The following is a 14,681-nucleotide window of genomic DNA, read 5'->3' as shown; positions in this document are numbered from 1 at the left end:
TGCCTCTAGTGAGAAATTCCTGGTGAGCAGCGTCTTCTGTCCTTTTTCATCCTAAAGGGCTGATTTAAAGCAAGTTCCCCAGTCCAGCCCTGGGAGTAGTGGCTGCCCCTTCTGTCTTCTATTCCTATGTTCTTCTGAGTTTTCTTAACTTTTATTAGCCACTCCCTTATAATGCCAGCTACCTGTTACAGCTGGCAAACCTTTATATTAAATTTCTCCTATTCAAATTACTGTGTTTTCTCTCTCAAAATTGGACCTTTATCAGTATCACCAGAGGTTCCTAATCAGTTGTTTCTTTCATGTCGTTTCAATAAAGATCTTTTGATGTCTTTTTGTGTTGATTGATTTGCAAATGCAAATACTGAGAGTAAATAGTTCCTCATGTAAGACATTCTCATGGGATGTCTGACACTCATATTAGGCTCTTCTCAAGCATTTTCCCTTGAATTAGACGCCCCCCCCCCCAAAAAAAAGGGAATCCCCAGCAGAATTCCTTTGACTAGGTAGCTTTGAGCAGAGATCTTGTCAGATCTTGTCAGATCTTGTCAGAGTTACTCAGACAAGAAGACATCCGAAAATGTCCGGGGTGTTGATATAGTTTGGCTGTGTCCCCACCCAAATATCATCTTGAATTGTAGCTCCCACAACTTAGAAGTCCCAATAGACTTCTAATTATCTACCTTATTCTAAATGTATTTTTTAAACTAATTTGGAAGATGTTCCTCTTAATCTTATAATATTATAATTATCGTAGATATATCTATGACTACATTTCATATTCAAATTGTGGAAGGGACCTGGTGGGAGATAACTGAATCAATTGAATCATGGGGCCGCTTTCCCCCATTGTTCTCATGACAGTGAATAAGTCTCATAAGGTCGGATGGTTTTATAAGGGGAGACCCCTTTCACTTGGTTCTCATTCTCTTTCTTGCCTGCCGCCCATGGAAGACATGCCTTTCACCTTCTTCCATGATTGTGAGGCCTCCCCAGCCACGTGGAATTGTGAGTCCATTAAATCTCTTTTTCCTCACGAATTACCCAGTCTCAGGTATGTCTTTTATTGGCAGCGTTCAAAAGGACTAACACAAGCGTCCTCTTTTTGGTTCATGTGAAGGTTCAAAGTCCTGTGTTTTGTCCACCTTGGTTTCACCTAACAGGTCTTCAGCCAAAGTGCTCTGTCTCTGTTGAATTTTGAAAGAATTACTATTTGAACCAAAAAGTGTATATTTAGCCAACTTATCCTTCACATAGATAAGCAAAAAAAATTATAGTAAGGTATGCAATTATACATGTACTGTCCTGAAAACTTTGTGCAATCTGTAACAGTACAAAGGAAAAAAAAAAGAATGGAAGATATAAGGAATAGAAGTGTTGGAAGTGAGCATTGACATGATTTAGTCATAGAATTAAGTTCAAATGATTTTAGTATATACATTAATTCATTCAAAACAAATTTATTGAGTGTCTCCGATGTCAATTCTTTCCATATTAATCCATGAATTTAATGTAGTTCCAATTAAAATGCCAACAGGATGCTTTGAAGTTTAGTCTAAACATTTACACAAGCAAATGTGTAAAAACAGCTTCATATTTTTGAGTAATAAAATTCAAGCATGATAAATTGTTCTACAAGTTACCAGAATTTATTATGACAGTACAATAATGAAGACAACATGGTACTAGCATAAGAGTAGATAAAAACATCCATAGAGCTGAATGAAGAGCCTGGAAATAGTACAGGTACATAGAATAGTGGGGAAAGTATTGACTGACTAATGGTGTGGCAAGAACTGTGATCCATAAAGGCAAGGTAAAAAGTCAAATAATTACTACATACCATATGGAAAACTAAATTCCAGATAATTGAAACAACAGAAATCTTTTAAATGCTCCAAAAAAAAAAAATCAGAAGATTATTCTTACGGAATTCTGGCAAGGGAAATGTTCATAAGCAAGATCCAAAAGCAGAGGTAACAAAGGATAACAGCACACACAAAGTTACAATTGCAGTATGACAACATATAGATAACTAGTGAATATGAAATGAGAAAATACTTGTCACATATATCAGAATATATATACTGTACATAGAATTATATATTTATAATACAAATGGCCTATAAACCAATAATGACAATGAAATAAAATAATGTGCAGCTCATATTAAAAAATAAATTTCAGATTAAGAAGCAAAAAAACATTAATAAATGTACTGAAAGATGTTCAGTGTCATTAGTGAGATGCAAATTAAAACAAGATACCATTTTTTCATTAACTAATTGGCTAAAAATTATGAAAGATTAATAATAGCCAGTGTTAGCAAGAGTGTGGAGGGGAAGGCAATCTGAAAGGGGAATTCGGCAGTAATTATCAAAGGGTAAATTTTACATCATCTTCATAGCATAATTCCGCTGCTAGGAATCTATGTAACAAAAAATGTGCAAAATGTATAAATATTTATACCATGATGTTTATTGTTGCATTAAATTTATTAGTTAAAAATGGAAGACTGCGTTTACACACACAACAATAGAGGAGTAATTAAATAAGTTATGATGGTGTGCTGGTTCTTGGTTGACTTTTTCCATAGATTGATTCTTCCCTCCCTTTCTCCTTCAGCACTGTGTGTAGTAAGAGGTTACCTTCAGCAGGCTTCTTTTTCTAGCTTTTTCTGTCAACTGGCTTTTGACTCATTTAGCTTGTATTAGTCTATTCTCACACTGCTGTAAAGAACAATCTGAGATTGAGTAATCTGTAAAGAAAAGAGTTTTAGTTGCCTCATAGTTCTGCAGGCTGTACAGGAATAATTGCTAGGGAGGCCTCAAGTAACTTTCAATCACTGCAGAAGGGGAAACAGGTGTGCCTTACATGACCAGAGCAGGAGGACGAGACAGAAGAGGGAGGTGCTACACACTTTTAAACAACCAATCTCTTGAGAACTCACTCACTATCAGGAGAACAGCAAGAGGGCAATCTACCCCCATGATCCAATCATCTCCCACGAGGCCCCTCCTCCAACACTGGGGATTTCAATTTGACATGAGATTTGGGCCAGGACGCAAATCCAACCATGTCATAGCCTAATGGGAAGTACTGTTGGGAGACTGGTGGGCAGGAAGAAGGGAGAAGCCATAGTACTTCCCTTTCTTCCCTCTCTGCCATGGGTATTATTTCTGGCTTTGATTGGCTTTGCTCCATGGGAAATACTCTTGCTAGACAAGCCAATGGTGGTTCTAACTTTTCCTAGATGACCATAGCCCCTGGGCCCTACTAATACAACCTTCTCCATTTGTCCCTACAATTTAACAATGGTAGTGGCTTCCTATTGGTACTAATCTCTAGATTACCTCTTTGTTCCTGCTTGGTTTTTTACTTCTCCCATCATCTATGTAACAACTTTTTTCTTGTATAAAATTGCTTCTGCTTTAAAAAGTTAGAAATAATTTTGTTTTGCTCATTGAAATGCACACACACACTTTTGCAGCCAGTAAAAACAACGAAGAAAAGGCTGTACCTGTATAATCATATACTAAAAAAGAAATGTTCCTGGTAAGTTATTGACTCCAAGAAGGAACTTGCTGTATCTTATGTTTGATAAGGTCCATTGCAAAATCGAACCATTATGTGTATATAGAAACGTATTTGTATAGTAATAATGATAATAACTATCCCTTTTAGGAAAAAACAGATATGGCAAAAAAAAAAAAAAAAAAAAACCCCACCAAGAGGATATGTTATCCCTATGAAGTGAAGTGCAAGGTGTGCATATATTGAGAAGAAAGGATGCTGCCACTTTTGACTTTATATACAGCTATATTGTTTGTATTTTTTTCTCTTGTATCACATTGTTAATTTCCAAAATTGTTTTGAAAGCAGGTAATAAAACAGTATGCCTACTATGATCATTTTTATTAAATTTTTTTTTGTTTTTGTGACAGAGTCTTGCTCTGTCCCCCAGCCTGGAGTGCAATGGCAAAATCTCCACTCTCTGCAACCTCCACCTCTTGGGTTCAAGCAATTCTCCTGCCTCAGCCTCCCGAATAGCTGGGACTACAGGTGCCCATCACCACACCCAGCTAATTTTTGTATTTTTAGTAGACACGGGGTTTTGCCATGTTGGCCAGGCTGATCTCAAACACCTGACCTCAGGTGATCAGCCCGTCTCGGCCTCCCAAAGTACTGGCTGGGATTACAGGTGTGAGCCACCACGCCCAGACACCTTTATTAAAAATTAATGTCCATATGTACTTATTGGTAATGGGAATGGTCTGAAAGGACAGTCAATTCTGCTATAACATGTGCTTTGAGATTAAATTTGTTCCAATGTGATTAATATACCAGAAAATAATTTGAGCATACTGCCTATGCTCATGTGTGATTTTATTTTCAGTGAAAAAGAGTAGTTGAACTTTAAAAAACTGAACTGAAAAACAGAAAGGCTTAGGATGCACAAAATACACCCACCACTTATAGTAACACCCTCACTTCACCTGTGTGTTGTGAGCCTTGACACCCATATGTCATATTGCAACTTTCTGTCTGATTTCAGATAACCCACATTTCAACAAGCTAAAGTAACTTGCAGTTTGCAAATCTTCCAATGCCTAATTTCCAAAACAAGTTTCAGGTCTTTTTCAAGGTAAAGCATCATATTTATTTTAGTATTTATGTATATCTTAACCATGTAACGTGTGAAAGTGTGCTACCATTTTTATTAGGCTCTCATCCTTTTTTTCTTGTTCCTTGTGGGTCATTATGAAGTTTTTGAGTATTTTACCCTAATCACATTTTTTCTCACAAGTCCCGTGGTTTTTATTGCACAATTTTGTACAGTATAGTGATTTTTAGGAATGGATATATCACATTATAGCAAAACTGACCATACATGTACCAAAATGTTAATAGCGTTTTGGGCAGCTTATTATTGCTTATCTATAGTTTCTATATTTTTCTAAAACAATCGTGCATTGATACTTTAATTAGATCTATGTAAACATCTTTAAATGATGAAATGGCAGCTAAAGGATGATTACAGCTGTTTTGGGTAAAGAGCTGAGGCTATTCTGGCAAGCTCCACATATTCACTGGTAATGTAATAAATTAAGTGCCTTCTAATCTACTTAAAAGGTACAATCACTTAAGCTCTTTCTGTAAAACAGAAACAGGTCTCACAGCAACATCTTGGCACCTTCTTTAATCAGAAAGTTCCCATAAGTACTAAGAAGAATAGAGAAGATGTGACTAGCCAATTTTCCATTAAATAATGTAGATTATGTAATAAGCCAAATGCCCCTAAACTGGTTGCAAACATTCAGAAGTGGTAATAACATGATTCAGATACAGAAATATAGATAGGCAATAAGGAGCCAGATATTCAGTGCTTACTGACTTTCAAGCTATTATTAAGTAGCTCGCCTATACACAGTCTCTGTAGGAAATAAAGAAACTACAAGCTTGAACACATTGTAAATTTCTAAATGAGGAGAAAAAAAGGTTTTTCTATGTGACTTGATGCTTGAATTTCTATCCAGTTTTTCAGAGTGAACATATACCTGCGTTATCACTTTTTTCTTTCCGAGACACTATTATGATGTTTTTTCTCTTCTTTTTTAAGTAGTAACTTGCTCCACCTACAGTCAAACTGCACTGTATGACTTTGATTTGGGTATGAGTCCTCTTTTCCCTCCCCCACATGCCCTGTTTCTGGCCCAGCGCCCACTGAACTCTGTACTTGTTCTTGATCCTTGTATTTTCCTGTCTCTCTACACAGAATCGGCTGTTGAGTGTGCTCTCAGTGGAGCTTTGGTTTTAGCTGTTCTCTGACAAAGAGCTTGTTCTGAGCTGCACATCTCGTCCTCTTTGTTCAGCCTCAGGCTTCAAGCATTGAATCCTAAATATTCTCCAGCTGGGAATCAGACAAGGGCAGAAATGAAGAACCCAGAAGCCCAGCAGGATGTTTCAGTTTCCCAGGGATTTCGCATGTTGTTTTACACGATGAAACCCAGTGAAACTTCATTCCAAACATTAGAAGAGGTGCCTGATTATGTAAAAAAGGTGAGACTTTATTGGAAGAGGCTACTCTTATTCTTGCTGCTTTCTTAATAAATGGTAAGGTCAATCTCCTTAGGGTTTTGTTCACTTTCATTATTCAAATGATTACATTCTAATAATAATAATTCAGTTTCTTAAAGGCGTGAAGCAAAAGTAGAATTTCCACTTGAATTTTCTTACAATCCATAGCCATCTTCACCTGTAAATTCCCTCTTTTATATGTCACTCCAGAATATGACAAAAACAAAAGTTTAAAGTTTTCCTGGACTCCATGGCATTGTAAATGTAGCTATTGGAAGCTCAATGACAAATAGTTACACCACATCAGTAAACTTTGTAACAATTTCATTTTTAAATCTTTCACTTGTCCACCCCTTCCAGGGAAACTATTTCCTCTTTCATTTGGTAGAGTAGTTCAGCAGAATGAAGGATATGCAGCTTGACCAGGTCCAGCTCTGACTTCCTAAGTTTGAATTTGACCCAAGTTTTCTTTGAAACTCTGAAGTGCTCAGAGGCACATTTCACTTCTGGTTCCTGGCTATGATTGGAAGTGGAAATATCCAGAATTAGAACTTGAATACTGAAGTTCCCCACCCTATCAAAGTTATTCCTACAACACTCACTAGTTCATGGCAGAAATAGAAAAAAAATGACATCATAGAATATGTTATTGAGAGTTCAGTTTAGAAAGCTTCAAAACTCATGATTAGCTTCCAAATGAGTAAAATCCGTATCTTTTTCAAGATTAGATATTACACTTTCTTTCTGAGTTTTTAAGTTAAAAAAAGTGGCACTGATATCTTCATAAATTATTATTGTTTATACTGCAATATCAAACCAAATTCAATGCTCCATCACCAATAGTGGAGCTTTCAAAACATCTCTTATTATGTGAAACAAAAATCAAAACCAAATGAATAAAATCTGAATCATGTTTTAAGCAAACATGTAAAATTACCATATTCTCTAAAATTCTAAGCAGAAAATTGTCTCTACTCTTTGAATTTCATCATTAGAAATAGTTCTGGTAAGTCTAATATGAAAAATTAGAATTATGTGCATCTTTAAGGAAAGCCTCTTGAAGTGGGTCTAAATTATACATGTAGAGACAATAGACCTCTAATTATCTACCTTATTCTAAATGTATTTTTTAAACTAATTTGGAAGATGTTCCTCTTAATCTTATAATATTATAATTATCGTGGTTATATCTATGATTACATTTCATATTCAAATTGGATGATAGAATTTGAGCACATGTTTAGTGTATGTCTAAAATAATTAGACTTCTTTACCACTGTGTAGGAAGTAATCCTCTAAAATGAGTGTCTACCATCTCCTGCAGGGCTTCCCAAATCTGGGCCTTTCAATTCTGAAATGACTAATCAGGAAATGTAAAATAATTTCATATGGAACATAATAGCATCTCTTTTCTGCAACTTCCTTTCCAGGCAACTCCATTTTTCATTTCTTTGATGCTGCTTGAACTTGTTGTCAGCTGGATTCTCAAAGGAAAGCCACCAGGTCGCCTGGATGATGCTTTAACGTCAATCTCAGCTGGTGTTCTGTCTCGACTTCCAAGGTGAGTTAGATGGTCAACAACGCTGAGCATAAAAACTGAAATTGCCTAAGTATGAGGGGCAAAGGAACCCAATGCATGGGAGAATTAGTTTATTTACACAAATTTTCCCAAAAAATTCAGTTCATGTCATTATTTAAAATTTTGATATTTTGTTCTTCATTGATTTTTTGCACTTATTTAAAAAATCACCGCAAACATTATTTATCTTGACTCTGTTGATATCCCTTTGAAATGAGTGCTTCATTTGCCTTATTGAGGTTCCAACTCTGAGTTATGGTCTGGTTCTCTATTAAAATTGTGTTTTGTCTCTTCCAGCTTCAGAAAGAATAGCTGTCTCGGGTGTAGCCATTCCCTAGAGCAGGTCACACAAATCTCTGAATAACTACAATAGTTTGCTAATTGGTGTCTGGCTCTAGTACAACCCCGTTTGCAGCCAAGCATTTCCATAATATGAATCCAGTGGAAACCCTTCACTGGCTCTCTATTGCCTCAAGTGTAAGGTAAAAATCCCTGTCTTGAACTATAGAGAACATTGTTTCTCTGGCTTTGCTTTTGGATCGTCCACTCTCCTGTCTATTTGTCATGTTTATCCTGTCATGCTTTACTACTTGCCATTGTCCACATGCCACAGGCACTTCCCTCTGCCTGGAAAGCCATCCAGGCCAATTCAGATTCATTCATTAGGTCTAAGCATAGACATCACACTCTTCAGCAAGCTTTATCTGTTTTCCAACCTTATGTTAGGCATTCCTGCATTCCTACACTACAGTCCCATGGAATTGTGTGCTTATCCCAGATCTAGAATTATCACATGACATGATGCTTACCTGTTTTTCTCTCAGCCCTTCCTGCTAGCTTGCACACAACTTGAGAGCAAGAGGTGTATGTTCTTAATAGTTTTAGCTCCTGTGCCTGGAATGATGTCTGTTGCATGTAGTTTCCCCAAAAGCAGTAATATTCCTGTAACATTATGTTGATGATAAAATTAGATGATATTGGGACTCAATAATAGTAAGATATAAATGACCTACTATTTTTTAGAAAGAGTACATTATAATGTGTGAAGAGGAAAGACCAATAAATGGAAGTCATCTTCAACACGTGAGGGCTTACCAAAGAGGCAGAGGGTGAGGAAAGATTCCCTTAGAAGTCTGTGCTTTGAGCTGCTGATGAATGTTCTCATTCCAGCTTCCCACCCATTTCTTCTTGTCCTGTTTTAAGAGCTTTACTTCTGACTGGTGCTCATTGCTTTGGAATGTTTCTATTAACCGCCCAGTGGGAAGCTAAGGTGGATTTTTAAAAAATAACATTAAAACTTTAAATATCTAAAAAAGGTGGAATAATTTCATATATTACATAAAATAGTTTAAATAAAAGTAAACTTAAAAGTAAAATTTTTTCAATAAGTGTTTGAGAAAAGTGCATTATTAGGTATATAGTAGAAGTAATATTAATAATATTTACTCTGAAAAACTACTTGTAATTGTTGCATTTTGCAGTTGAAATCAGAAGAAGATAATGTCTCCAGAAATTTGCAGCTAATTCCCAGATTATCATGAATAAGAATTTACAATTATAGATAATTTCCTTTATTATAATACTTGTCCCCTTTAAGCAGAAATGAACAAGAAAAACATTCAACATGCCCAAGGGTATATAGATTTAGATGTAGATTTAGTTATTTAAAAATACCCAGTTGGTTAATTTAGCTCATTCTCAGAAAGTTAAGTGTATAGGTTATGGAAATCAGATTATTGATAAACTATAAACGTCACCCAATAACTGAAAATTGCCCTGTATATACGATTATGGGTCATATATTTTACTGAATTGGAATGCATTTGTTAAGCATTTTGACAATGAATTTGACAGCAAATTGAATGAACTCTTCAGAATTTTTTTTTTTACCTTTTAAAGTTTGATTTTGTTCCAAATGAAATTAGATTGTTCTCTTATCATAACATTGTAAGTACCAGAAATACAAACTGTATCCTCAATACAATATTTTTGCTTAGCAGTGTTATTTTAAAAAGGTACAGAGTTATAACAGGAAAACAAGAATAAAAGAGATATTTTTACAAAAAATACACCCCAAAAAGCAGAGAGAAAGGGGAAAGGGGGGAGAGAGAGAGAGAGAGAGAGAAGGAAAAAAAGAAACCAAAACAAACCAGTCCTTCAGGGATAGAACATGAGGTTCTTTTCCTTCACCCACTACTCATAACAGTCCTTAAACTAACACAAACTGTTAACTCTGGTGCCCTTTGAGAGAAAGGTAAAAGGTTATGAACTTTAATTTGGAGAATATTTTTCTAAAGTATTTTAAATGAGAATAGCAAATTACTCCTTTCTTCCTTGTAGATGTAAAGAACAATTCTAAATTATGAAATGTGGATTTTTAAAAAGTTTTTCAAGGAATTTTCTCTTTTACAGCCTTGTCTGAAAGATCCCAGTAAAGCAAATTATCTGAAAATGCATTTTTTTGTTTTGTTATATAAAACTATGGTGAAAAATATTTTTATTTTATTTTTTGCTATTAAAAAAAAATCCCAAACCCAGATATAAACAGAAAAGGAAAAGCGAGCCTGTGGATCCATTCCTCTCAATCCCCTTTCAGAAAAAAAAAGGAAGAATTTGACATCAATTCTTAAAACAATATTTCAGTTGAAGCCACAGCATCAAGGGGAATCCCTGTGCAAATCATTAACAGCTGAGGGTTAGATTAACACGGCAATGATCGGATCCTCTCCCAGGGACTAATTTCATTTTCTACACTAGCAACAGGGGCTTGCCACGTCCTTCAAATAGGTGATTGCAAGACAAATGGTAGTATGCCTTTTGCTAATTCGTTTGTGAAGAATTATGCTTTGGATAATAATTCCAAATAAGCATGTGGCCTCTGACAAAAGAAGTGGAAATCAAAGCGAACGTGTTTTTCCACTTCGCCATTCATGTAATAGAAATGTTGTGTGCAGACTTTGAAGAAAAACCATGTTTTTTTTTGAGGATCTTAATTTCAGGATTACATAAAATTTCAGGTACCTTAAAGATTAATAGCGTGCCTACCATGTTGATAGAAAAGACACATGCTGCCTCTTTCAAACCTTTATCTCAAGGAAAATATTAACGATGGACAATATTATGTCTTGTTTACAAGCCTGTTGGACAGACCATGATCTGTAATAAAAGTCCATCTGTCCTAAGAACCAGATTCTGGACAGGCTTACATCTGTTTTGCTCTTCTGAAATCCAGTAGGCAGACTTCCTAGTCAGATACTAGTCCTACTTATAAAAATATATGTCTATGTATTCTAGATAAACACAGTGTATCATGCAGATAATCTGCGTTTCTAACAATTAGTTGCATATGTGACTGTAAAAAAATTAAACTTGATTTAACAAAATATTTACCAAATCTATTGTTTAAGCAAACGTATCTAAAACTTGTGAAATATCCTGCTACTGACTTAAATGTTAATGAGTGAAAAATAATCACATTTTTTTCCTGCTTGTTTAAGCAGAACTCAATTTCCAATCCTTCATTAGAAAACTGGGACTTCAATTTGTTACTTCCTTCCAATGTTTCTGCTTCCATAAATTGCATCCTCCCCAGAGAAGTTTTATTCCTGATATAAATATCTACAGTATGTTTGTTTTTAATGGGTTCATTTATTCTGTTGAAACAGCAGATTATAAATCAAATTGCAATAGGTTAGAGGGATAATTTAAGTAGGTAAATTTTCAAATAAAGTTGGGGACACTGCACTTTTAATACATATGGGTCACTGCCAATTTTTACTATGGAGCTAGCTCCACAATGTTCAATCATATATATGCATACTTTTACTGGCCATGCCTGCCATGGAATTTTCCATTCCTGACAAGAAAGTTTCAATTCATCAAAAAAAAAAAAAAAAAAAAAAACTAAAAAGGAGGAAATTAAACTTCTTTAAAATATTTTTGACTCTTTGGGGTGGGGCCAGAGAATAAAGAAAAATTGTATACTGGGTTTTTATACTAGGGGCCTTGGCACGAGAGGCTAAATGTTGCCTTGGCAAATCAGACCTAACAAATGAATGTATATAATTTTGGGTGATGACTTTAATAAGCAGCAATTCATTGTCCAAAATAAGAAATAAATGAATCTGTGTAACGTTAATAATAGTACTTTATTATTAATACTAAATGTATTAACTTAGAAATAATTATTTAAAATCCCCATGTAAGGGAATAAATTTTAAAAACTTGTTGGTTTGTTAATTACATTTGAGAGAATGTCTCATTTGTTCTTAATATTTGCATTAGAAAACTAATAAATAGACTTTGTCTTTGTTATTAATTGCGTAACTTCAGAAACTGCTATTAGATGAACCTTCCCTGGTGAATGCAAGGTTCACTGCTTATTAGTCTGGACTTGTGTGTTTATTCAATTGAGTAATACATTTCCTGCAAAGTAAATAATGTATCAAATTCATTTCTTTCAAATCTATCACATTGTGTTTATAAAGGTTTATGGTTTTATGGTTGCTGTTAAGAAGAAATTAAAGTAAGTGATTGTTTTATGAATGTGATACCATTTAACAATAATAACTAGTAGTACGCATTTTATTTGTTTGCAGACGGTAAAGGTAATATTATCTTTCTTATTATTACCAAGCAAAAATCAATATTCCACTAGATGGAGCAAAAGTGGCAGTAGCTTTACAGACGGGCAGTGCAAACTCCTGGATTCAGTTGAAGAGATTTTGAAGTAAATAAATAACAAAATTTCCCAGAAAAATTTCTCTCTCTCACTCTCTTTACATATGTGTGTGTGTGTGTGTGTGTGTGTGTGTGTGTGTGTGTGTGTGTATATATATATATATATATATATGATCCAATACATTAATTTATTTGTAACTTCTTGGAGTTTTAAGAATATTTGTAATAATCTTTTTTAAATATTGATTTATTTTCTGGCTCATAAAACAAGATTATTAGAAATAAAAATATCTAATTTTTTTTTAGTTTTGTATAATCTGGCCAAATCAGAACACTCAGCTATAATGACAGTTGTGGAATAATATAAATTGGCAGATTTGTATGAGTGTATTACATGAGTCTACTTATTCTGAAACTTGCTCTCTTAGGAGTTTTCAACGACAGTATTACACCAAATGTCACTTGCTTTCTTAATGACAACAACGTGAGAGTCGTTTTAGGGCTCATTCAGCTTAATTATCTCATACCTTAAATTATCCTTAGACACTGAAAGAGTGAATGTCATGCCCACTCTCACACTTCTATTCCTGGTGATGGGTAGACTCAGATGGAGATGACTTTGAAAACTAATTAGTTTCTAATTCTCAATCCCCAAATAACATTTATTTCTGATTTATTGATTATTTTTCAATCTTAACATTAAAACTGAATTTTATTTTGTAAAAAATGAGGATTAATACTAAATAGCAATTTAGTAACTTAGCAGCTTTTTTTGTAGTAACTGAACATTGACAAATTTCTAGTGATGAGAGAAAAATATTAGGTAAAACACACAGAAAATCAGTTCACTAGTTAGAGAAGTAAGCTACTTTTCATTTACTGAAACATATACTTCAGACCCAAGAGAAAACTGCTGTTTGGGGGAATTCATGAAGAAAATAGGACAATAGGAGGAAAGTCTCTCTATATGCAGGTTGCTAATTAGAGGATTCTAATGTCTCTTTACATTTAGATCACTTTCCTGGTCTTACATTCAAACTTAAGGCATAAAAGGGATCTAGTATTTGGGAATTCCAAGCCCCTGTGCTACCCAGTATTCCATCTTCATGTGATAAAGTAAGCTTACTATATACGTACATATTTTATATGCCTCTTCCCACAGGATGGAGTTTAGACAGTTTAAATTCCAGGGTGCAGAGTCATGTGCTGAGATTGCAGGGTGGAAGGGGTAAGGGGGATTGAGAAGAGAAAGAGGAAGGAACTTTGGTTTATGATTCAAGGTCTTCTGAGAACATTTTTGAAAATGTAGGTGCTATTTTCTGCAATCCAGGGCTTTCCAGAGCTTGATAATCATTTCCCAGCTGTATTGGTTAGGTGAATTGCTTTTAGTTGTGGGCACTCCATGGCTATTGTTTCACATATGTAATAAAAGGGGATCAAATTAATTTTGCTAATAGAAAGCAGGGAATATAACTCCCACAGCTTCTCCCCTCTTTCTTTGTGTCTTGAGGGAAGTTAGGCTTCATGCTAATGTGTGTGGGATGTGGTGGGGGGAAGGCTTGACTGTAGTATGTTAGGCATATTTCAGCTCGATTTGTGTTAACCCTAATAAGTCAGTTGACGGAGTAATAAATTGGGTGTCTGCTCAAGACCTGGCACCTGTACAGGAAATAGAAAAGTATTTCAATTTCAGGCAGGTTTTTGAAATTATTTATTTATTTATTTATGTATTTTTTTACAAATGGAAGTTTTTCTAGGACCTTCAGTCTGTTATTGAGATCTTGGTATCTTAATGCCTATTTCCATTTTCACTGGAGTTGACAAGAAAGATAGCATATTTTTTTAAAAAAGGTATTAAACTGAGGGAATATTTATAAGGCTGGTGGCATTTGCCCTGTTTAATAGTGTGTTCTTGTGTCTTGTGCTGTGCCTGGCACTTAGTAGGCTCTTCATATGAATTCATTGAATGACTGCCTGAATCCATGGTTGAATCTGCTTTGATACCATGTGCTAATACTTAAGCCATTCAGCTAGAGATGATTTCAACTTTCTACTACACTTTGTTTTAATCTTTCTTTTTTTTCTATTTTATTTTATTTTATTTATTTATTTATTTTTTTTATTATACTTTAAGTTTTAGGGTACATGTGCACATTGCGCAGGTTAGTTACATATGTATACATGTGCCATGCTGGTGCGCTGCACCCACTAACTCGTCATCTAGCATTAGGTATATCTCCCAATGCTATCCCTCCCCCCTCCGCCCACCCCACAACAGTCCCCAGAGTGTGATATTCCCCTTCCTGTGTCCATGTGATCTCATTGTTCAATTCCCACCTATGAGTGA

The 14,681-nt window shown here is 34.9% G+C and overlaps 1 protein-coding gene and 1 long non-coding RNA gene across 8 annotated transcripts in view; one reads left to right on the top strand and one right to left on the bottom strand.

Moving 5' to 3' along the window:
- Positions 1-5,761: 5,761 nt before the first annotated feature.
- Positions 5,762-14,681, top strand: part of AGMO (alkylglycerol monooxygenase) — a 444,793-nt gene continuing 435,873 nt past the window's right edge. For all 7 annotated transcript variants that reach the window (XR_001744759.1, XM_017012204.2, XM_011515402.4 and 4 more), the window contains exons 1-2: positions 5,762-6,057; positions 7,506-7,636. Coding sequence is in view for 6 of the 7 variants with exons in the window: in XM_017012204.2 (XP_016867693.1) it covers positions 5,932-6,057; positions 7,506-7,636 (257 nt within the window). In the remaining variant the exon portion in view is untranslated. The remainder of the gene's footprint in view (positions 6,058-7,505; positions 7,637-14,681) is intronic.
- LOC124901591 (uncharacterized) lies at positions 7,577-8,920 on the bottom strand. The gene is made up of 3 exons (XR_007060217.1): positions 8,750-8,920; positions 8,464-8,596; positions 7,577-7,681 (listed from the first exon to the last, which is right to left on the bottom strand). It is a non-coding gene; the product is annotated as an uncharacterized LOC124901591 (long non-coding RNA).

The sequence above is a fragment of the Homo sapiens genome, chromosome 7 (assembly GCF_000001405.40).
Source record: "Homo sapiens chromosome 7, GRCh38.p14 Primary Assembly".
In the NCBI taxonomy this organism is placed as follows: domain Eukaryota; kingdom Metazoa; phylum Chordata; class Mammalia; order Primates; family Hominidae; genus Homo; species Homo sapiens.
This window is presented reverse-complemented; position numbering and strand designations above follow the sequence as displayed.